Source organism: Homo sapiens, chromosome 21 (assembly GCF_000001405.40).
Source record: "Homo sapiens chromosome 21, GRCh38.p14 Primary Assembly".
In the NCBI taxonomy this organism is placed as follows: domain Eukaryota; kingdom Metazoa; phylum Chordata; class Mammalia; order Primates; family Hominidae; genus Homo; species Homo sapiens.
In genome coordinates this window covers 43,152,004-43,173,983 of record NC_000021.9, presented here as the reverse complement: position 1 = coordinate 43,173,983, position 21,980 = coordinate 43,152,004, and the positions used below count along the sequence as shown (strand labels likewise).

The window sequence follows — 21,980 nt, the reverse complement described above, 5'->3', positions numbered from 1 at the left end:
ATGTTGTTGCCAACCACAGGGCACCCCCTTCTGTACAAATGGGGACTCGATGGCACAACAGCCGGGCAGGTCCTGCTGGAGGGAGGAGGAGGGGGGGAGTCTAGGGGAGCCACTCCCAGGACTCAGAACCCGTCACACCACGGCCTGGCCAGAGGAATACAAAGAGAGACAAAGGGCATGGTGTGTTGAGGGGTGTGTGTGTGTCTGTGGTGTGTGTGGAGTGTGTTGTGTGTGGAGTGTGTGGTGTGTGTGTGTGGAGTGTGTGGTGTGTGTGCTGTTCAGTGTCCGTGGCACGTGATGTCACTGGGCGTCACTATGGCCGCCCACGCTAATGCCTGTTGCTGACTTTTTGAAAACCCGTTGGTGTCAGTGTCTGTGTTCTCCCGGGTGGAGGCTGCGCCCCTGTGGTCGTCCTGCTGGTGCCATGGGGGTCCCAGTGCCTCAGGGTCCCGGTGCCTTCGGCCTCCGGGGTCGAGGGCGCTTTACTTGGCTGAGGGCGCTGGCAGGGCCCACCCGCCGTGGCGTCTGCTTCCCCTTGGGTGCCCTCTGGCCCCCCGGATGCCCCTCGGTGAGCGCAGCAGGCAGCCAGGGCCCCCCAGGCCGAGTCTCCCTCCCCGTGGCGGGGTCTGGCATGGCCGCCCAGTGTCTGGTCCCGGGAGGGGACAGAGCGAGCTTCCGCCTCCAGCTCGGGGCCATGATGGGTTGCCCAGGGGAAGCTGCCGAGTTCCACCTCCTCAAAAGCACGAGTGCCCTTAAAGCCCAGCCCCGAAGGCAGCAGGACCCCCGAGAGAACAGGACGACCCAGCAGACCCCGAGAGAACCGGACGGCCCCGCAGAAGGAGGCCAGGGCTGGCGTCCCGCCCCGGTGCCGGCGCGGACAGAGAAAGGAGCCCGGCCTCCCTCCATTCCCTGCAGCCCCTTCCAGGTCCCTCCCCGCCCCCAGCTCTCGGAAGTGCTCCCCAGTCCCTTTCCCATCAGAGGCTCTGCCCCCAAAACCTCTCCTTCCAGCCCAGTGTGGAGGGAGGCGCTTGAGCTCAGGAGAAGGAAGGGACGCAGGCGACCCCATCGTTCCGAGGCCACCGGGTCCAACGCGAGCAGGAGACCCCGCTGTCCTCCCTCCCGGCGCCGCCCTCCTGCCCCTCGCGCCCCTGATGGAGACAGCACCAGCAGACGGCGGGTTGCTTGTATCACCTGCTGTTTATTGATTGCCGCGGGCTGCGCTCTCATGGGCGACCCATGTCCCCAAGAGCGGCACTACATAGAGGGGTTGGAGGAAGACGGTCTGAGAGAAGAGGCCGCGAGAGCCCAGGTGCACAGAAGCCCCGGCCCCACGGGCCTCACGCGCCCCAGGAGGTGTGGGCAGGGCCCGCCGCGGAGGGAGGCTGCAGGTGTGTCAGGAGGCACCTGGCCGGAGGTCACCCCCTCCTTCTGGACCCTCAGCAGAGTTGAGGCGCCTGCACCCCAGGGGAGCCAGGCTGCTATCTAAAGGAGTGTGAGGTGCGGTCACTTCCGCCACTGGCCGGTGTCGGGGTCTGGGACACCCTGAGACCCTAAGCTCTCCTGGCTGCTCTCTCAAACCCTCATTCCATGTGAGAAGGTGGAAAGGAAAAAAGGGAAGCAAAGGAAGACAGACACCCCGCCCTCAGGGTGCTCCCCCCATGATGGGCCAGGGCTGCAGGGGAGCCAGCCGAGGCAATGCCTGCTTAGGACGAGGGAGCCGAGGTGGGCTTCTCCTCCCGCGACACGGGGATGGCTCGCTCGGCGTGGGTGGCATCCAGGCCAGTCTGGATCTTGGGGCCACAGAAGGTCAGCATGCCATCGGCAGACAGGGAGCAAGAGAGGGCCGACTGGTCCACGTTGGACGGCAGGCGGTAGCGGCGGTGGAACTCACGGGAAATGTAGCCGTGGTCGTCCTGGAGAGGGTGGGGGCGCACAGTCAGGGGGGCCACTGTGCAGGCGGCTGCCTCGCCCCATGCCAGAGAAGCTGCCCCAGCCCCACTGACTGCAGAAGGGGGCCAGCCTGCGGGGGCTCTCACAGGGGCCGGGTGCAGCCAGCACATCCCATGGCCAGGCCCCCTGGGATTTATGGATTCATGCCCCTGCTTCTCTGGACCTCAGCCTGGCCTCGTGGCCACTTGCCGGGCTATTCCCCGCGGGGGGTTGTCTCTTCCCGCTCCATGGCTTCACTCCAAAATCGCAGGATCATTCCAGACCAGGCCCCGCACCTCAGCCAGTCTTCCCCTTCCAGACCCCGCAGGACTGCTCTAGCCCAGGTCTCTGCAGCCCTACCTAATGTGGCCAGACGACCCACATGCTTCCACGTCCCCTGGACGCCCTAAACCGCAGACTCAGCTCCCTGGGCTGACCTCCTCCTCCACTGGGTGCAAAGACCAAGAGCTGGGAGCTCAGGAAGCATGTTCCAGGCTGGCTGGGGCTACGTGGGGGCTTTACCGGGCCCAGGCGAGGGAGGGGCAGCACATGAGGAGGTCAGCGTTCACCCCCCAGCACCACCTTCTCCAGCCATTGAAAGAGGACCCTGGCCAAAAGAAACCAAGACTTTGGCTAAGAGTTCCACCTTCCAGCCCCACTCTGCTCTCCAGCCCCCGCGGGGCACTGTCCATCTGTGACAGTCCATGAGCTCTTCCCGGCTCCGCCAGGAGATGCAGGTCACCAGGGCTCCAGTGCCCCGGCTCCCTCAACACCACGGAGATCCGAGGCCTCCAGCCGAGCAAGAGCGGGGCATCAGGGTGACTGTGGGGAGAAGCTCCCGTCCACCTGCCCGGTACTAGCTGTGGGACCCAGCAGGCTGAGGACCCCCTTGTTCCCCAGCCGTGCCCTGGAATAATGAGGACACTGGTTCCAAAGTGCTGCTGTGAGGCGAAGGTGTCAATGCCTGTAAAGCATTCCAAGCGGATGCAGCTATGCCGTCGGGGACTGGCTTCCTCAGGTAGGGTTCATGTGAAGATGTACACTGGCTAGGAGGCGGCCACCCGGGGCACTCCCACTTCCTGGGGTTCTTTCTAAGACCACCCTGGCATCCAGGTGACAGGGATGGAGCTGGCGACGGCTGGGTGCAGCCCGGGAAGGGACCCTAACCTGGATCCCTGAGCCACATTAGCTCGGGAATGGTGACCTCTGTCACCGGGAGGGGCTGGCTGTGCTCAGGTGGGCACGGCCCCTCCCTTGGGGAAAAGCCAGGCCTGATTCGGGGTCCCCTGGAGAGCGTCCCTCTCCCAGGGTTGAAGGCATGGTGCAGGTGTGCAGGCCCGGTCGTGCCCGCCGTGACCCCCTTGTCCTCGCGCCCAACTCGCCCCCCTCTCCCACCTCTCAGTGCCTGGGCTCACCTGGCGCTCGTTGTGCTTTCCGTGGATCTCCACAAAGTCGTCCTGCACCTTCACGGTGAGGTCCTCCGGGGAGAAGTGCTTCACATCGAGGAAGATGACGAACTTGTCCCGGTCGGATCGAACCTGAAATCCAAACGTGCCATGTGGAGCTGCCCAGAGGGTGCCGTCCCTGCTGGGGTTGGCAGAGACAGGGCGGGTCCCGGTTATCAGAACAGAGATGCTTCGGTCACCTGCCGGCCTCTTCTCCCACACACCAAGTGGGGCAGAGCTTTCGGGGGCCTGTGACTGTCTCCTGGACAGACAGGCATGACCCTCGACCTGTCTCCAAACCCTCAGGGCCAGCTGAGGGGCTGAATGCTACTGGTGGGCCGGCTGGTTGTTTGGCTATGGTCAGGTGGCTGGTTATAGATAAGTTGGCTGGTTATGGGCTGGCTGGCTACTGGTTATGGTAGGAGGGGTCGTTACGGGTTGGTTGGTCCGTTAGGGTCAATCGTCTGGCTGGTGATGCTTGGCTGGCTGGCTGGACTCAGCCTGTGGAATGAGGTCACTGCCCTTGGTGTCATGCTGTCTATAGAAGCGGCCGGAGCCTGCTGACAGCCTGCGCAGCTGCCTCTCCAAAACGCACTTCCACATGCTCCTTCTCACTCCCCTGGCTCAGCCTTGGCTCCCTGAGGCATTTTGCACCCTGGCGTTGATGCCTACTGCAGCAGCCCTGGGGAGGACCCTGTTTATGAGGTGCTGGGTGGGACTCAGGCCCTCCAGAACAGCAGAACCTGCACCGCTCACCCGTGGCTCAGAGAGGAGGCCTGTGGTTGGGTGGGGGGGGGGGCGTCCATTGCCTGTCCTTTTAGCCTTGGCAGGGCACCTAAGTAAACTTGCCAAGAGCTTTGCTAGCCGTGGGCAGGCCGAGCTCATTGGAGGAGGTGCTAGGAACGCCCTGCTCTCTGGCTTTCAGGACTATGACCCCCACCTGCTCCCAGGTCTCCGGGACTCAGGAGACCAGAGGAACCCGGGAGCTGGCATTCGCCACCACGCATGCCTGGATGGGCTGCTCTTGGGGTTTCCAGTATGTGGCTGGTGCCTTACAAAGCACACATGGGTCATGAGCTGATGGAGGAAAGCAAAGGTGGATTCAGGCTGCTCCCTTGTCCACCCTCTCCCCAGTGCCAGGGGAAGCTCTGCCACGTGGCTGCAGTGGGGACACAGGCTCTCGCCCAGCCTCTGCAAGGGGATGAAGTGGGACGAGGCCACCTGCCTGACGGAGCAAGACCAGAGTCCATCGCTCTCCACCCACCGAGGCCACCACCCTCTGAGCAGCGAGGAGAGGCCAGCACCACGGGCCACGTCTTACCTCAGAGATGCCGGAGTCCAGCACGGTGCGGAAGAGGGACTGGCGGTAGTAGGGGCTGATGGTGGACGACAGGAAGGGCAGCAGGTCATACTCAAAAAGGCCCTCGCCGAAAAACTGGTCGAACAGCCGGCTGGGGTAGAAGGGCCCCAGGGTGCGCTTGAACCAGGGGTGCTGGATGGTCACGTCCATGTTCAGCTTTGGTACCACGGGGACCTGGAGGCTGGCAGGAGTCAGCGGGGCCTCTGGGCAGCGCAGTGTGGAGCCAAGGCCGAGCCCTCCCTATATATGCCACCAGCAGAATGGAGGCATTAAGGGATTTCTCTGGAAAGGCGTGAGCTCATGAAGAAGGCTGCTCAGTCAGCAGAAACGTGGCTGGGACAAGTGCCCGCCCCCAGCCCCAGGAGGGGCTGCACGGACTGTCCCCGAGGCCTGGACTCAGCTGAGGCCCGCCTGGGCACCCTGGGGCTCCCGGGAGGGCAGACAACCCAAGGAGGCGCCTGTGCCCCATACTCGCCTGGGGCGACAATGGAGCTTCTCATCTGCCAGTCACTGGGCAGGGGCTACGTGCCAGGGACCATGCTAGTTCTCTGCACACCTTGTCCTGCCGGGGTGGTCCTCATGGTCGCCAGAGGAGGGAGAGCACACACCCCCGTTAGACACAGAGGTTAGACACATCGTCCTCAGAGTCTCACCGGGCCTGGGCAAGAGTGCACTGGTTTCCAAAGCGGAGTGCATCTGTGAACCTCCGTTACACTCACCACTTACAAAAGTACGCATGCTTGTTAAAACTCGTGGAGAAGAAGCTGCAAGGTGCCATAATTCCAGCACCTGGGGGAGCCCTATGGCGTTTCATGCTTGTCCTCCAGGGGTCACATGCCTCCAACAGGAAGACGGGCTGGGCTGTGGGCAGATGAGAGCACCACGTGGTGAGCTTCCCTCTGCGGCCCACCCTGGACGCCCAGCCCCATGGCCATCGTCCCCTCGATGTAACGCCTCGAGCGTTACATCTCGTAATGATGTAATGCCTTGATGTAACATCCCCACGTAACGCCTCGAGCCTCCGTGGCATGACCTGCCGTGGCTGTTGAGTTGGGCTGCTCCTGTCAGGGTGGCGACATGTCCCCACGTCCCTGTCACCCATGCGGACCCACCACCCACATGATCCTGTTATCCACAAGTCCTGGTGATTATTTTGCTCCTCGACCCATGGCCCCTGTCCAGTTCTCACTAAGTGTCCAGGCACTCCCGGTTTTGTTTGTTTGTTTTTGAGATGGAGTCTTGCTGTGTCACCCAGAGTGGCGCCCAGATCATATAGTGGCGCGATCTCAGCTCACTGCAACCTCTGCCTCCCAGGTTCAAACAATTCTCCCACCTCAGCCTCCTGAGTAGCTGAGACTGCAGGTGCCTGCCACCACACCTGGCTAATTATTATTATTATTATTATTATTATTATTTTTGTATTTTTAGTAGAGACAGGGTTTCACCGTGTTGGCCAGGCTGGTCTCAAACTCTTGACCTCAGGTGACCCACCTGCCTTGGCCTCTCAAAGTGTAGGATTACAGGCGTGAGCCACTGCACCTGGCTCACTCCTAGTTTTAAGTCTTTTGATATTTTGGTATTTTGATATTTTGGTAAACTGGCCCTGGGGAGCATGGTCCTCCCCCACATCCCCCCTGCCAGCCTGGGAAGAGGCCATGCCCCCTCTCCCAGGCTAGCTTTTCTAGTGTACGGTCCAGGCTGTGGGAAGTTGCCTGGTTCTCTTTGGCCTCCTAGTTCCTACTCAGCCTCTAACAGATTCGTGCGTGTGGAGTGAACACACACCCAGGACACTCCCGGGCTTTGCAAATTCATCTCCAGCCCATGGGCTCAGAAGGCCATGAAATGTCAGATGCCCCAGTGTATGCGGATCAGACCTGACACATCCCAGATGGGATCAGGGATGAAAGGGGGGGCTCCGAGGCGTGCTCCACGGGGCACCTCCATCATGAGCAGCACCCATGAGCAGCACCCTTCCTCCTACATTTACAGCACTGTCCGGGGACACAGGATCCCAAAAAATCTTGAAATGATAGCTTTTGCCCTGCAAGGTTACAATTCCAGAGGAGCGATTCCCTGGGGTGCCAAATTAAGGTGCAGATAGGAAACGCTGGGAGAGTGATGGGTGCTTCCCCCGAAAGCCTACACCAGACCTCTCTGCCTGTGGGTCCTCAGAGCCACCCTGTGAAGCAGGTCCCAGCATCATTCCCGCTTCATAGACCAGGAAATGGGAGCTTAGAAGGTTAAGCCGCACGCCCAGGTCACTTGGCTTGGAAGAAGGGAAGGGGGTTTAAAGCCACCTTTCCAGTCTGGGGGTCAACATCCAAGCAGTGGCAGGGTCTGGGTGAGGCAGCGGGCGGCCCCACTGTGCTGGCTGCCTATTCCCGGGGCACAGGGAGGGGGAAGAAGAGTCCTTTGGGATGGAAACCAGCATGGAGCTTGGCCCTGGGGAGGGTCGAGCCAGGCCAGGAGCACGGTCAGTGCTGGGCAGAGCCATGCTGGAGCTTGAAGCAAAAGGAGAAGGCCGTCGTCCTCATCCTGGCTTTATGTAAAATGTTGACAGTTTGTCCACCACAAATTTTTTGCATTCATTTTGATTTACTTATTTATTTTATTTATTTATTTTTGAGATGGAGTCTCGCTCTGTCGCCCAGGCTGGAGTGCAGTGGCACAATCTCAGCTCACTGCAACCTCTGCCTCCCGGGTTCAAACGATTCTCCTGCCTCAGCCTCCCAAGTAGCTGAGATTACAGGCACACACCACTACACCCAGCTAATTTTTATATTTTTAGTAGAGATGAGGTTTCGCCGTGTTGGCCAGGCTGGTCTCGAACTCCTGATCTCTGGTGATCCACTCGCTTCGGCCTCCCAGAGTGATGGGATTACAGGCGTGAGCCACTGCGCCCGACCCATTTTGATTTGTTTAAACATTGCATCAAAACATGATTTAAACATCAGAACATTGATGGCAGTGTTTTTAGTGCCCCTGACACTTGGCAGGGAGGGAGGAGCTGTGCTGTCCTTCACAGCTGGCCCTGCACATGGTCAGTCAAACAGTGGAGACTGCAGGCTGAGGAGGCAGCTGAGGCACCAACCTGGGGCTGGGCACCAGCCTGGTCCTATGGACTGCACAGCTCTGGGTGCCGAGGATGGGGCAAGGTCCTCAGACACGGGGCAGGGCAAGGTCCTCAGACACGGGGCAGAGCAAGGTCCAGGCACTCACACCTCTTGCGCCCCTCACCACACGCTGTAGGGCCTGGCGGCTCAGAGGCCGCCGTGGGACGTCGAGGCTCTGCCACAGGATTGGCCGGGCCTGCAGGGGGCTTCTGAGTGAGCCAGCGCCTGAGTCTGCACAACAGAAGCAGGAAGGCCTGGACCGGGGGCAGGGAGGGCTCTAGGGCCCTAGGGGCCTTTTCAAACCCCGAGTTTAGGTGTTGTATTAGTGTCTTGTGGCTGATGTACCAATCACAGACTTAGTGGCTTAAAACAACACAAACGTCTTCTCTCACAGTTCTGGAGGCCACAAGTCTGAAATGTGTCTCATTCAACTTAAAGCAAGACACTGGCAGGGCTGGCTCCTGCTGGAGGCTCAGGGGAGTCTGTTTCTTGCCTTCTCTGGCATCTCAAGGCACCTGCCTTTCTTGGCTCGTGGCCCCTCCTCCACCTTCAAAGGCAGTGGTGGGCGGTGAGGTCTCTCCCATCACATCCACCTGGCAATTACGCTCTCAGCCCACCTGGATAATTCAGGATCACCCCCACCACATCTCAAAGCCGGCTACTTTCAGGAGCCTTAACCCCCACTCGCTGGCCCGGAGCCTGCTGTGCAAACATCCTCACTTAATTGATCCACACTGGTCGAGTCCTGTCTCTTAACGCTGTGTTAAACAAAGTCCCTGCTTTTCTGGAGCTGATATTCTCTTGGGTAGAGACAAGCAACAAACAAGTAAATGCACGCTGATGTCAGTGCATCCGCCTGCCAGAGCCCTGCGCCATTCGCCTGGATTCTGGGGAAACAAGACCCTTTTGCTCTGGACCTGGGCTCCTCCTGAAATTTGTGTTGAAGATGCTGCCTCAAAGCCACAGTGTGCAGGTGGCGGGCAGGGGGAGGTGACAGCCAGTGCACTGAGGGATATGATGTCTGCGGAAAATGAAAAACCAGAATGAAACCAAAGACAAGTCAGTGTTCTTTTCCTGATTCCCAGCCACTGTCCATGCAAATCATGTCAGCACAAAATCCCCTTTTGCTGGGCTAAGTTCTAGCAATTGCTGCATTCATAGCAGTTGTTTCTAGAGGTAGGGGTGTTCTATAAAGCTGCTGTGAGCACTGAATTAGTGATGCCTGGACTGCTGAACCATGGCTCCCAGGGGAGACACAGGCTTAGGGTCCTGCGAGCCTCTGGCCCCAATGTTCTCATCAGCTGAGCAATGCATCATTTGTCTTATGAGTGTTTCTGTGTACAGATGCTTTACTGAGGCCAGGCGTGGTGGCTCACGCCTGTAATCCCAGCACTTTGGGAGGCCAAGGCGGGTGTATCACCTGAGGCCAGGAGTTCAAGATCAGCCTAGCCAAAATGGTGAAACCCCATTTCTATTAAAAATACTAAAATTAGCCAGGCGTGATGGTGCAGGCCTGTAATCCCAGCTACTTGGGAGGCTGAGGCAGGAGAATCGCTTGAACCCAGGAGGTGGAGGTTGCAGTGAGCTGAGATCGTGCCACTGCACTTCAGACTGGGCAACAGAATGAGACTCTGTTCCAAAAAAGAAAAAAAAAAAAAAGATGCTTTACTGAATCTATAAACATTGATTCACTAACACTGAACTCATGGCCAGCAGCCCTGTAGCTCTGCCCGAAGGAAGCTTCTCTAACCCGTGTTTCCTCTGTGAGATGCACTGCAGCTTGCTTACCTTTTGCAGTTTTGTGTGTTTTGTTCGTGATTTTGCTGTTTAAAATGCCCCCAAGCACAAAGCTGAAGAGTAACCAAACAGTAACCAAAACTGTCTTTGGGTTTCCATTTGTATGGCATATTTTTAGAAATCTTTTACTTTCAAACTATTTGTGTCTTTGAATCTAAAGTGTCTCTTGTAGACAGCATATAATTAGATAATGTTTTTAATCTGTTTGGACAATTTCTGCATTTTAACTGAAGTGCTTAATCCACTTACTTAAAAATGCCTCCAAGCACACAGCTCTTCAGCACTGGGCTTGGGGACGTTTTAAAAAGCAAAATCACAAACAAAACACACGAAATGCAAAAATCATGGCACTAAATAGACCTCAAAAAGGATACTGGTTGACCGCCTGAGGCTGAAACAAGAGGGCATAGTGCTGCCTTGTTCAACCTCACCCAGGAATATGTGTAAGGAGACAAATGTCTCGGCACTCTCTACACATCTGTGAATGACCAGGAAAACTCTGCAATTATTGATTTGGGGTCACAAATAAATTTTTTTGGTAATTTTTTTGTAGGGACGGGGTCTTGCTTGCTATGTTGCCCAGGCTGGTCTTGAACTCCTAGGCTCAAGCGATCCTCCCACCTTGGCCTCCAGAGGTGCTGGGATTACAGGCGTGAGCCACCGTGCCCAGCCTACAAATAAATTTGACCAAGTAGGTGTCATGGACTGAACTGAGTTCCCAAAAAATTCCTGTGTTGAAGTACTAACCCCAGGACCTCAGAGTGTGACTGTATTTGGAGATAGGATCTCTCAGGAAATTAAGTTAAAAGGAGGTCATTTGGGTGAGCCCTAATGCATGTGACTGGCTTCCTTATAAGAAGAGGAAATCAGCTGGGCGCGGTGGCTCACGCCTGTAATCCCAACACTTTGGGAGGCCAAGGCGGGTGGATCACGAGGTCAGGAGTTCAAGACCAGCCTGGACAACATGGTGAAACCCCGTCTCTACTAAAATACAAAAAAATAGCCAGGCATGGTGGCATGCACCTGTAGTCCCAGCTACTCGGGAGGCTGAGGCAGGAGAATCACTTGAACCCGGAAAACGGAGGCTGCAGTGAGCCGAGATTGCACCACTGCACTCCTGCCTGGCGACAGAGTCTCACTCTGTCTTAAAAAAAAAAAAAAAAAAGAGGAGGAAATCTGGACAAATTCCAAAAAGAGACACCAAGAACACATGCACACAGAGGAAAGTCCACATGAGGGCACAACAAGAAGAGGCCCGTCTGCAAGCACAGGAAGGAACCGGCCCCACCGACCCTGCGATCTTGGACTTCCAGGCTCCAGGACTGTGAGACAACAAATGTCTGTTGTTTAAGCCATCCAGTCTGTGGTCCCTGGCACACTGACATCACAGGGAATTCCCAAATCTGGAATGCATGAGTCATGAGGATAGACTATATTTCTGTAATCTTCACATTAGCACAGTTTTATTTCTTGTTCTAAACATTTACTGAGTGGAAATTTTCCAGTGAACTTCCAGTCATGGGGCCACTCCCGACACTGCAGACGCAGCCACCTGCATTGGCTTGGAGCGGCTTTGAAGGGCGGGTGCAGGTGCACTGGGGGAGGGGTTCTCATCTCCAGCCCGTGGTTCAACATATTTCTGTGCTTAAACGAGAAATTTCACATAACAACAACAGCACTCACAAAGAAACCGAGCTGGAAGTATTTCAGTTCTGTCATTCTGCATGACCTCTTGGTGTTTTTATTCTGTGTTTCAAATGTGAGACTGTGAAACCAGAGCGAAAACGGAGATGTGGTGCTGAAGCTGAGATGTTAGCTCATGCATGAAAGAAGTCACTGAATTTGAATATCTTTAACATTGAAATGCATTCTTTTTCTGTTAATTGCTTTAAAGAATGAATCAAGAAAATCATGATTATCCGTGATTATTACATAACTATCCTGAAAATAATTTTGCGGTATGGAGGATGGAATATTCAAAACTGTGACTCACTCTGGTGTCAGATACCTTGGGGGCACCGCCGGCCTGGGGCTCCTCAACCTTCTTGCTGGCGTCCAGTGGCCTCTGACAGCCCTCCAAGTGTGAGCAGACCGAGGCTGTTTCGGGAGGCCTGGAGCCCTTTGGCGCTGCCCTCAGTCTGCCTCTGAGCCAAAACCTGCAGCCGGCCTCGTCGCCAGCAATGCTGGGACCCCAAGGTTGAAATGATATAGGAAACAAGGGTACCCCCCAGGATGTCTGAAGGGTGAGGTAAGCTTCTTCCTGTGCCTCCCACACCACCGCCCAGTGGCACAGGGCCCCCTGGCGCCTGCCCGGGACAGCCTGCAGGAGCCCGGCCCCAGCACACAGGCCCCAGGCTGGTGTGAGCTGGGTCAGGGAAAGGTCCGCCTAGGGACAGGAAGGGCCGTGGAGAGAGAGGTCTGCCCAGTAGGCCCCAAGGACCCCTCCGGGAAGAGGCTGGCCTCTCCAGGCAGCCTGGCACGGAAGTCAAGGCTACGAGTCAAGTGTCTGACTCCCAGGCCAGGGCTGGGAAGGGCAAGAACAAGGCTGGTCTTGTAGCCTGCCACCTGGGGAGGGCATGGGGGTAGGCAAACAGCTCAGCCCCGCAGGCACACCGGGGTCTGTGCAAACATGATCACCCTGGGCACAGGCAGCCCTTCCTCACTGGATGTCCCTGGGCACGGGTGGCCCTTCCTCACTGGACATCTTTAAGCATGGGCAGCCCTTCCTCATTGGATGTCTCTTGGTTCTCCCGGCCTCCTGGAGAGTAACCGTCACTCCTGCCTGTGCCCTGGACCGAGACCCTGGCGAGAGTGACCAGCCCAGGGCAGACCCAGCCAGAGCACCCAGTGGGCCCCAAAGGACCCGCCTTGGGTTAAGGGGGTGCGGGAGGGGGTCACCACAGAGCCAGCAGCTTCCAGAGAAGGCTGAGGGTGGGGACCTGGGCATAGCCCAAGGTGCCAGTGCCCACCTGGGGTCTTGGTGGCCGCAGGGAGAATGTGGGCCAGGTGCCGCCGCACAGCTCCATCCGGCCTGACCCTCAGTCCCAGCCCCACCCTGGGCCACTGCTGCTGGGTCCCCCCTCACAGATGCAGAGACCGCACAGGCGGCAGAGTCAGATGGACGCAGCTTCCACACGGGCCCCACCTAGGCCATCTGCGCCCCAGCAAGGGAGACGCCAGCCCAGCATGCCTGGCTCAGCGCAGTGCCACCACAGGCCCGACCCTCACCCCCCCGCCCCGGGGAAGAAAAAGTAAGAGTTTCACAGAGATCAGAGAAAGAAAAGGCACGCCTCCCACAGCTGAGCAAGGCCATGGGGCAGGGCTGGCCCCTGTGCCCACCAGCCCTCGCAGGGGCCGTCCCACCTGGGAGAGGCCTCAAGGCCATTGGCTGCCTCGACGGGAACTGCAGCCGAGTGGGGCCTGCAGCCGGGGCCTCGGGCCTGTCGCAGGTGTGGAGCCCGGCCGCCTGAGGACGTTCTGCAGGGTGGGCAGCGCTGGGGACGGCGCAGGGGGACCATCCCCTCCGGCCCAGGGGCTGGGCAGGACCCAGTGTGGGCTGCATGGGGCTCCTGAGGGTGGAGAAGGGGTGGGAGGCCAAGGGAACAGAGGGACAGATGTGCGGGATCTGGGGTGCGAGGGCAGGGCTCCAACTGGTCTGGGAGCGTGTGTGGGGGTGTGGTGTATATTTGATATGTGTGGTGTGTGGGGGGTGTGTGTTGGATATGTGGTGTGTGATGTGTGTGTGGTGTGTGGGGTTTCTGTGACGTGTGTGGTGTGTGTGTGGTATACGTGTGGTGTGTGGGGTTTCTGTGATGGGTGTGGTGTGTGTGGTGTGTCTGTGACGTGTGTGGTGTGTGTGTGTGGTATATGTGTGGTGTGTGGGGTTTCTGTGACGTGTGTGTGATGTGTGTGTGGTGTGTGGTGTACAATGTACCGTGTATAGTGTGTGTGGTGTGTGTGTGTGTGATGTGTCTGGTATGTGCTGTGTGTGTTGTATATGTGATGTGTGGGGTGTGTGTGTGGTGTGTGTTGTATATGTGATGTGTGTGGTATATGTGGTGTGTGATGTGAGTGGTGTGTGTGTGGTGTTTATGTGATGTGTGGGGTGTGTGGAATGTGGGGTGTGTGGTATATGTGTGGTGTGTGATGTTTCTGTGGTGCGTGTGGTGTGCGATGTGTGTGATGTGTGTGTGATGTGTGTGATGTGTGTGTGGTGTGTGTGTGGTGTATGATGTGTGTGCAGTGTGGAGTATCTGTGGTGTGTGTCTGTGTGGTGTGTGTGATGTGTATGTTGTGTATCTGGTGTGTGTGTGGTATATCTGTGGTGTGTGTCTGTGGTGTGTGTGGTGTGTGTTGTATAGGTGGTGTGGGGTGTGTATGTGTGGTACATCTATAGTGTATGGTGTGTGTGTGGTGTGTGTGGTGTGTGTTGTATAGGTGGTGGGGTGTGTGTGTGGTACATCTATAGTGTATGGTGTGTGTGTGATGTGTGTGGTGTGTGTCCGTGGTGTGTATGCGTGGGGGTGTGTAAGCCACTGTCTCGGAGATCATTTTTCTCAAATATCTCTACAGATCGAGCCCTGTCGGGAGGTTTTTCCCGGCCTCTGCGATGGCTCCTCCGTGGCTCCCCGGCATTGTTTCCGCGGCCCAGCTTAAGCCTGTCCTCAGCGATTTGCCGCCCCACTGCACCCGAGCTCAATGCCAGCCCCTCACACAAAGGCCACATTCACTTCATCTACAGGATTCCCGTAACGCCAGCAGTCTGCCCCACAAAGGCTGGCGCTGCAATTTTCCACTCCAGGGCCCCGCGGGGCTCACACACAAATCCGCCTGTGTAGGGCGGATGGGGCATTGTTGTGGCTCAGCGGGGAATGTGCCTGAGCTAAGCCCTCGCCCTGCTTCTCCTCGAGGTCAGCAGGTTACACAGGATGGTCCCCTGCAGACCCCCGAGCTGCCCTCAGAGTGCAACGTGGGGCCGGTCATGTCCCGCCAGCCCTTTCCAGAACAAAGCCAGCAGGGAGAGTGTGCCATAGACCCCCGAGGCCCTCCGAGGCTGGAGTTAAGTTGGGGAGAGGATCCTCTTTCGGGGGTTTAGAGATAATTCTGTCCCACAGCACACACTGGGCGCTCACCACTGCCAGGACGTGCAGGTCATGGGTGACGGGGACAGAGCCAGTGACGTCCCGCCCTCCCCCTGCGGGCCAGCACCTGGTGCGCCCATCACGGGGTATTACTTTTACGGTGGCGGCAAATGCTACTTCATTGAGTTTATTTTTATCATGAAAATTTTTACACAGTCTCAAAAGTAGAGACCATGGAACAATGAGCCCTTCACATACTCCTCAGCCAGATCCAACAATTAGGAGGATTTTGCCCTGCTTCCCGCTTCTCTTGGTTTTTTTCTTTACTGGAGTATTTTAAAGCAAAGCACAGACGCCACGTCATTTCACCCCCGCGCACTTCAGGTACCTCTCCTACAAATCGAACATTTCTTTCTATAAGCGCAAATTCCCTCTCACGTTTGACAGGATTCCTAACAATTTCTCGATGTCATCTAAAACCTAGTCCCTCATCAGATAACCCTGATTGTCTCAAATATGTTCTTTTACAGTTGATGTGTTTGCATCATGACCTAAAAAGAATCTGCTCACTGCTCTGGTTGTTACGTAGGTATCATTTTTTCTGAAATTGCTTCTGCGTTCCTGAAAAGGTCATACGTCTTTTCCTCTTTTGATATGTTAATACAAAGAACTTTATGAATCAGTTGTCTAATGCTAAACCAATCTCACATGATTGGAACCAACCCAGCTTAGTTACTGTCTTAGCCCAGGTTTCCAAGAAGAGGGGGCCTGGGGAGCGTCTAGGTGCAGATGTTTTGTTGGGAGGTACCACCCCAGGGAAGTGAAAGGGAGGTGAGGAAGGGAGGGAGGGTACTTTGCAGAACTGGCTCTTCTCATCTCCAGGTGGCCAAATCTGCTCCAAAGGATGATGGCCTCCCTCACCCCGTCCCCAACTTTCTGACGTGTCTTTCTGGGCCCTTCGGGGAACCATGGGGAAGCAGAACCCTTGGGATCAAGGCAGCTCAGCCCGAGGCTCTCACCAGGATGGGTGGGGGCACCCCAGCCCAGGCTTGCCTCCCAGGAGCGCTAGATGGGACGATGGGTTCAGCTCTGTTACGTTTAGGATTTTCCACCTGTGCTCTGAATGCAGCTGGCCTGTAGCTCTCTCTTGTATTGTGCTTATCCGGTTTTGATACCAACGTTATAACCACCTTATAAAACGGGGGGTGGGCTGGGCGCAGCGGCTCACCCCTGTAATCCCAGTGCTTTGGGAGGCTGAGGAGGGTGGATGGCTTGAGCTCAGAAGCTTGAGACCAGCCAAGGCAACATGGCAAAACCCTGCCTTTACAAAAAAATACAAAAATTAGATGGATGTGATGGCACGCACCTGTAATCCCAGCTACTCAGGAGGCCGAGGTGGGACGATGACTTGAGCCCAGCAGGCAGAGGTTACAGTGAGCAGAGATTGCACCACTGCACTCCAGCCTGGGCAACAGAACCAGACCCTGTCTCAAATAAAAATAAACAAATAAAACGGGAGGTGAGGGAAGCATGTTTTCTAATTTTCTTTTCTTTGGGAGAATTTCTATAAAACTGAAACTGTTCTTACTTGTTGGTAGAAACTCACCAGTTAACATCTAGGAATGTTACTTTCTCTTTGGGGCTTTTTTTTTTCCTACTGATTCCATTTTTTAATGGCCATAGGACTTCTGGTTTTTAGAAAATCCTCCTTTGTGTAGGTATCACACTCACGGGCATGCAGCGTCCCCCGGGTGCTCGGATTCCTCGGTGATCTCCGGCCTCACGAGCGTGGTGGGCATTTTGTTTTTTTTTTTCTCATCCCTCTTGTTTATTTGTCTCCACCTCTTTCGTGATTAATTGGGGCGGTTTATCAATTTTATTAGATTTTGGCTTCGTTGATCCTCTCTACAGTATGTCGTTTTTTATTTCATTCATTTCTACTCATATCTTCTTTTTTTTTTTTTGACATGGAGTCTCCCTCTGTCACCCAGGCTGGAGTGCAGTGATACAATCTCAGCTCACTGCAACCTCCACCTCCCGGGTTCAAGCAATTCTCCTGGCTCAGCCTCCTGAGTAGCTGGGATTGCAGGTGCTCGCCACCATGCCCGGCTACTTTTTGTATTTTTAGTAAAGATGGGGTTTCACCCTGCTGGCCAGGCTGGTCTCGAATCTTTCTTTTGTTCTTTCCTCTGGATTTATTCCACTGCTAACGTTTGTAAATCTAACATGGTAAATTTGCTATGAGTTTTATCTTTTCTTTGCTCAGTGTCAGCGTGAAGATGGTCGTTTCCTTTTCTCACCATGGCCGCATCCCACAGGTTTAGCTGGAGAGCTGGGGCTCTTCCCGCAGTGCCCCGCAGGAGCCGCCGTGCAGCCCAGGGAGGGGCCTTCAGACATCCGGGAGCGAAGCCACACAGAGGCTTCTGCAGTCAGTCACCGGGCAAGACTCGACACTCACTGTGTGTTTGTTCTTAGCCCACCTGACCCAGAAATGACTGGAGGCAGGCAAGGGGGGCTCAAGCCCTGGGCATTCGCTGTGTTCAGAAGAATGAACAGTTCCTAGGCCAGTGCTGGAGGAGGGAGAGGAGCTGTTGCCGCATCACCCGTGACAGTGACGCTGCTGCTGTCACCACACCAGGGGTGTCCTGAGTGCTTCACCTGAGTGGACCCCGCACCCCGCACAGAAACCCTCTGCAGTCAGAACCCCGGCGACCCGGGTGCCGGGGAAGCAGCTGCGGCACCATCCGGAAAGTTACAGGAAGCTCCTGGAAGCTTCGAGAGGCAGTGCCCGGGCTAAGCCCGCCACGATGCTGCCCGCTTCGTGTGGTCTGAGCACGTAACATCTCCCTTAGCTTTTCTGCACAAAACACTGCGCTGCCAGTCCTCAAGATCCAGTCTGCGGTCCTGGCCTGCCCCGGGCACTTGTTTCCCCTTCAAAGACCTCTCAGCAGACAATTGTTTTTCACGCCCTCTGGAAGGGAACACTCAGGCCGCAGGTGACGGGCGACGTGGCTGAAGGCGTGGGACACAGTGGGTGCTTAGTCTCTCCTGGAATCAACCCAGGCTCGCCGAGGAGGCTGGACACAGCTCTGGGCGTGAGGACAAGGCTGGTTTGCCTTTGGTTCCTGAGCAGCACGGCCCACCTTTCCCCACCCAGAGGTTCCGCCCTGCCTCGAGGGGCAATGACACGGGTCGGCCAGGCCTGCAGTCAGAAGCAGGCGCTCTCAGAGCCAGGATCTGGATCCATGACTCCACGTGCCTGGTCAAGGCGAAGGCGCTAAGGAGCCCCCCAACCCCTGCTGCCTGTGGACACCTGGAGAGCAGTGCTTCCAAGGGAAAGCAGGGAGGTGGGCTGCTGGGGGGGTGTTGGCTCCCCACCTCGGGGGATGGAGAGGAGAAGGCAGGTGTGGGGCCTTTGGAAGGTGACCTGGGAAGCAGGAGTGAGTGAGGGGGCAGGAGGTGGGGTAAGGAGCAAAGCCACCGAAGGCTCCTCCATGAGAGGGTTGCTGGTGTAGGCAACTGGTACCAATCCCACTGAGGATGTCGACTGTGGCACTCCTAGCTCTCACGCGGGCCGAATGGACCGAAGCCCCAAGAGCAGAGAGGCGGGGAATGCGGCCCCTTGGAAACGGCCCCCTTAGCTTCCGTGGGCTCAGAGGCACCTGCAGGCTTCTGGCCAGGGCAGCAACAGGGTGTAGCACCAGCACCAGAGACCATGACACCCACCAAACCAGGGGCATCTGTCAGGGTTCCCAGAGGAACAGAACCCACAGAACAGAGCCGATAGGATAGGTGGACAGAAGGATGAATGGATGGATGGAGGGAAAGAGATTTATTTGAAGAAATTGGCTCGGGCAATTGTGGGGGTTGTCACTTCCAAAATCTGCAGGGCAGGCGGCAGGCTGGAGACTCAGGCAAGAGCTGACTGAGGTCTCAAGTCCAAGTTCTGCAGGGCGGCATGCTGGATACCCAGGCAGGGTTTCTGTATTGCAGTCTTGAGGGAGGTGCAATTCCTTCTTCTTCAGGAAAGCTTAGTCTTTGAACTTAAGGCCTCTGGCTGACCGGACAAGACCCACCCACACGACGGAAGGTCACCAGCTTTAAAAGTCTACTGACCTAAATACGAATCACATCTACACAGCTGTCCACGACAACATCCAGATGGGCGTTTGACCAAACCGGGCGCCGTGGCCCAGCCAAGTTGATGCATGACACAAACCGTTGCACCGGGGTGAACCCAGGAAGGTTAACACCTCACTAAACAAGGAAGGTGAGCCTTCCTGCTGCTCTCAGAGCCTTGAGGAAAGGGAGCGCATTCGGGTTGAGGAAACAAAACCTCTTCTTAGATGATTGCTACTAAAATTACCATAACCCCCCAAGAAATGGCTGCACCATGGGTGTTATTTTGTTTTTTTTTTTTAATCTGTTATTTTTGTACAGACAGGGTATCCTTATGTTGCCCAGGCTGGCCTCGAACTCCTGGCCTCAAGCGATCTTCCTGCCTTGGCCTCCCAAAGCACTGAGATTACAGGTGTGAGCCGCCACGCCTTGCCATGGGAGTTATTTTTCTCATGTGCAAAGATTTCGGTTTTCAGTCAGTGTGGGTCTGCACTAGCCGGGAAAACTGTCCAGAAACTCATTCGTGTCGAGAAAGAACACAGTACAGCCCTGGCGTCCAGAGCCACCCTGATGCTCAGGGCCAGGCTTTTGCTTTCCTCCTGGACGTAAACAACCTCCCGGAACGCCAGCTGAGACAGGGGCCACGAGACCATGGCAGAAGGAGATGAAGCAAGGCCACCCGTAATCGTGTCTAAGCACAAAAGCAAGGTCACCGCACAGCCCACGAAACGCTGGACGCCTCTCCTGTTGCTAAATGAGTGGCTGCTGCCCTGTTAGAGAATCCTACCGGGCCCCTGCGCCCTCACCACCCCAATCTAAAACAAACCCCACCTTAGGCCCTTTCCAAGCCACCCAACCCGTGTCCCCTAACACTCTGTTACTGAAACGCCCTCAGTTCCCCCACGGGGCATGCAGTCCGGCCTGGTCGCCTGCAGGCGTGTGTGTTGCTGCGGCCTCTGGCTGGGGGGTGCCGCCAGTGGTCTGCCCAGGGTAACTGGATACCGAGTGACAGCCGGCCACACGGGGCCCTGGTCACACACGGTGAACGATGACTCAGCCCTGGTCCTGGAGTATGCGGGAGCCAGGGGGCCCAGGCCCATCTGCAATTTCCCTTCCTGTTCTCACCAATCAGGCTGTGGCCCCATGACTCCACCAAAATGTCTCTCCACATTGCCACGCGCGGCCCTCGGCTCCAGGCCTCCCCCGGCCTCCTGGGCGGCTGTCAGCGGGCCACGCCCCTTCCGGGCGCACTGGCTCCACCTGGTCTCCAGGATGCGCGGTCCCCTGCTTCTCCCGCACCGCGAGCTCCTCCCCGCCAATGCTGGGGGCCCCGGGGCTCGGTGCTTGCATCCTCTACTTCCGTCCACACTTGGACCAGCCGGTTGACCTCATCACGTCCTATTTCCTGTGCGCTGGCTCCGCCCTACGCACTCGCCTGGCTTCTCCACGGCTCCCATTGGATGCCGAGCAGCGCCAGACGCAGCGTCTTAGACCCAGCGTGTCTGAAACCGGCTGTTCCCACGGCCTTTCTTACCCCAGCTATCAGAACTTCACTCTTGGCCGGGCGCAGTGGCTTACACTTGTAATCCCAGCACTTTGGAAGGCCGAGGCGGGTGGATCACATGAGGTCAGGAGTTTGAGACCAGCCCGGCCAACATGGCGAAACCCTGTCTCCACTAAAAACACAAAAATTAGCCGGGTGTGGTGGCCGGCACCTGTAATCCCAGCTACTCAGGAGGCTGAGGCAAGAGGATCGCTTGAACCCCAGGAGGCGGAAGTTGCAGTGAGCCGAGATTGAGAAACTGCACTCCAGCCTGGGCAACAGAGCAAGACTCCTTCTCGAAAAAAAAAAAAAAACAAAAACAAAAACGAAAAAACCCTTTTTTTTTTTTTAGGAAACGGCCTCTCACTATGTTGCCCAGGCTAGACTTGAACTCCTGGGCTGAAGTGATCCTCGTGCCTGGGCCTCCCTAGTAGCTGGGATTACAGGCAAGAGTTACTACAGCCCTAACCCCAGTGTGACTGTATTTGGAGATAGGAGGAGGTAATCAACATTACATTAGGTCATAAGCAGGGGGCTCTAATCCAATAGGACTGGCGTCCTTATAAGAAAAGAGAAAGAGACACCAGGGATGTGTGTGCCCAGAGGAAAGGCCCTGTGAGGACACAGGGAGAAGGTGGCTGTCCGCAAACCACAGAGAGAGGCCTCAGGAAGAGCCAGCCCTTCTGACACTTTCATCTCAGACTTCCAGCCTCTAGAACTGAGATAATAAATTTCTGTTATTTAAATCACTCAGTCTGTGGTATCTTGTACGGCAGCCCAAGCGGACTGAGACACGCCCCATCCCTGATTTATCAGCAAATTCTGTCACCTCTACCTGCAAAAACTGTCCAGACTTTACCCATTCCTCACCACCCCACCACCTCGATCCAAGACAGCACTGTCCTCTGCCTGGATGGTTGCCGTTCGTGCCTCCCTGGGTTCCCATTTATGGCTTTGCCTCCAAGTCTATTCTCCACCCAGCAGCTGGGGCAATTCCTAAAACGAGGATTGCATCAGGCCCCTCCTGGACTCCACATCTTGCCTGATTTCCCTTCTTACCCAGGGGAAAAGTCAAATTCTTTACGGTGACCCGCAGTGCCTTACAGACCTAGCCCCAGCCTCCCCTTGTTCCCAATGCTCCTACCATGCTGGCCCCTTGGGGTTCTCCGAGGCGCATGTGCCCTCCTACCTCAGGGCCTTTGCATGGCCTGTTCCCACCTCAGAGAGCTCTTCCTGCAGTTCTCTGCATGGCTGGTGCACTAATTTCCTTGAGGTCTGTACCGAAAACCCGCTGTCGTAATCCATTTTGTGCTGCTATAACAGAATACCGCAGACTACACACTTTATAAAGAACAGAACTTTATTTCCTCCCAGTTCTGGAGGCTGAGAAGTTGGCAGGTGGGACTTCCTGCTGTGTCATCCCGCAGCAGCAGGTGGAAGAGCAAAGAGAGGGGGGACCCAACGCACCCTTTCGTAAGGAGCCCAGATTCACGATAACAAACGTATTCTAGCGATTATAGCATTCATCCATTCATGAGGGCCCCGCCTCTCGCCTAGTCACCCCAGGGCCGAATCACCTCCCATTAGGCCCGC

The 21,980-nt window shown here is 56.3% G+C and overlaps 1 protein-coding gene and 1 long non-coding RNA gene across 3 annotated transcripts, besides 7 other annotated features; one reads left to right on the top strand and one right to left on the bottom strand.

Annotated features, from left to right (window-relative positions):
• Positions 91–721: an enhancer, noted in NCBI's record as "H3K27ac-H3K4me1 hESC enhancer chr21:44593373-44594003 (GRCh37/hg19 assembly coordinates)". NCBI's record gives its function as "activates a minimal SCP1, AML or CMV promoter by ChIP-STARR-seq in naive and primed H9 embryonic stem cells {active_cell/tissue: H9 hESC(naive and primed)}" and the evidence as "EXISTENCE:reporter gene assay evidence [ECO:0000049][PMID:30033119]".
• Positions 722–1,352: an enhancer, noted in NCBI's record as "H3K27ac-H3K4me1 hESC enhancer chr21:44592742-44593372 (GRCh37/hg19 assembly coordinates)". NCBI's record gives its function as "activates a minimal SCP1, AML or CMV promoter by ChIP-STARR-seq in primed H9 embryonic stem cells {active_cell/tissue: H9 hESC(primed)}" and the evidence as "EXISTENCE:reporter gene assay evidence [ECO:0000049][PMID:30033119]".
• On the bottom strand, positions 1,174–4,976 carry CRYAA (crystallin alpha A). 2 transcript variants are annotated; one of them, NM_001363766.1, is made up of 3 exons: positions 3,575–3,748; positions 3,345–3,467; positions 1,174–1,913 (listed from the first exon to the last, which is right to left on the bottom strand). In NM_001363766.1, exons 1-3 carry the CDS (start codon positions 3,650–3,652, stop codon positions 1,704–1,706), a joined length of 411 nt encoding a protein of 136 aa, NP_001350695.1. In that variant the 5' UTR covers positions 3,653–3,748; the 3' UTR covers positions 1,174–1,703. The 2 variants fall into 2 exon arrangements, with proteins under 2 accessions (NP_001350695.1, NP_000385.1); NM_000394.4 differs by lacking the exon at positions 3,575–3,748 and adding an exon at positions 4,696–4,976 and having other exon boundaries at positions 1,179–1,913.
• Positions 2,402–21,137, top strand: LOC107987300 (uncharacterized). Its single transcript, XR_007067885.1, has 3 exons — positions 2,402–2,947; positions 15,256–15,310; positions 17,044–21,137. It is a non-coding gene; the product is annotated as an uncharacterized LOC107987300 (long non-coding RNA).
• Positions 6,628–7,173: an enhancer, noted in NCBI's record as "H3K4me1 hESC enhancer chr21:44586921-44587466 (GRCh37/hg19 assembly coordinates)". NCBI's record gives its function as "activates a minimal SCP1, AML or CMV promoter by ChIP-STARR-seq in naive H9 embryonic stem cells {active_cell/tissue: H9 hESC(naive)}" and the evidence as "EXISTENCE:reporter gene assay evidence [ECO:0000049][PMID:30033119]".
• Positions 12,164–12,909: an enhancer, noted in NCBI's record as "H3K27ac-H3K4me1 hESC enhancer chr21:44581185-44581930 (GRCh37/hg19 assembly coordinates)". NCBI's record gives its function as "activates a minimal SCP1, AML or CMV promoter by ChIP-STARR-seq in naive H9 embryonic stem cells {active_cell/tissue: H9 hESC(naive)}" and the evidence as "EXISTENCE:reporter gene assay evidence [ECO:0000049][PMID:30033119]".
• Positions 16,706–17,441: an enhancer, noted in NCBI's record as "H3K27ac-H3K4me1 hESC enhancer chr21:44576653-44577388 (GRCh37/hg19 assembly coordinates)". NCBI's record gives its function as "activates a minimal SCP1, AML or CMV promoter by ChIP-STARR-seq in naive H9 embryonic stem cells {active_cell/tissue: H9 hESC(naive)}" and the evidence as "EXISTENCE:reporter gene assay evidence [ECO:0000049][PMID:30033119]".
• Positions 17,442–18,179: an enhancer, noted in NCBI's record as "H3K27ac-H3K4me1 hESC enhancer chr21:44575915-44576652 (GRCh37/hg19 assembly coordinates)". NCBI's record gives its function as "activates a minimal SCP1, AML or CMV promoter by ChIP-STARR-seq in naive H9 embryonic stem cells {active_cell/tissue: H9 hESC(naive)}" and the evidence as "EXISTENCE:reporter gene assay evidence [ECO:0000049][PMID:30033119]".
• Positions 19,295–19,965: an enhancer, noted in NCBI's record as "H3K27ac-H3K4me1 hESC enhancer chr21:44574129-44574799 (GRCh37/hg19 assembly coordinates)". NCBI's record gives its function as "activates a minimal SCP1, AML or CMV promoter by ChIP-STARR-seq in naive H9 embryonic stem cells {active_cell/tissue: H9 hESC(naive)}" and the evidence as "EXISTENCE:reporter gene assay evidence [ECO:0000049][PMID:30033119]".
• Positions 21,138–21,980: the final 843 nt, after the last annotated feature.

Bases quoted from the DNA above. Each gene is read 5' to 3' on its own strand.
- CRYAA (NM_000394.4), bottom strand. From the start codon at position 4,884: ATGGACGTGACCATCCAGCACCCCTGGTTCAAGCGCACCCTGGGGCCC. The intron at 3,468-4,695 runs GTAAGACGTGGC...TTTGGATTTCAG, and splicing joins TGGACTCCGGCATCTCTGAG to GTTCGATCCGACCGGGACAA. The intron at 1,914-3,344 runs GTGAGCCCAGGC...CACCCTCTCCAG, and splicing joins GAAAGCACAACGAGCGCCAG to GACGACCACGGCTACATTTC.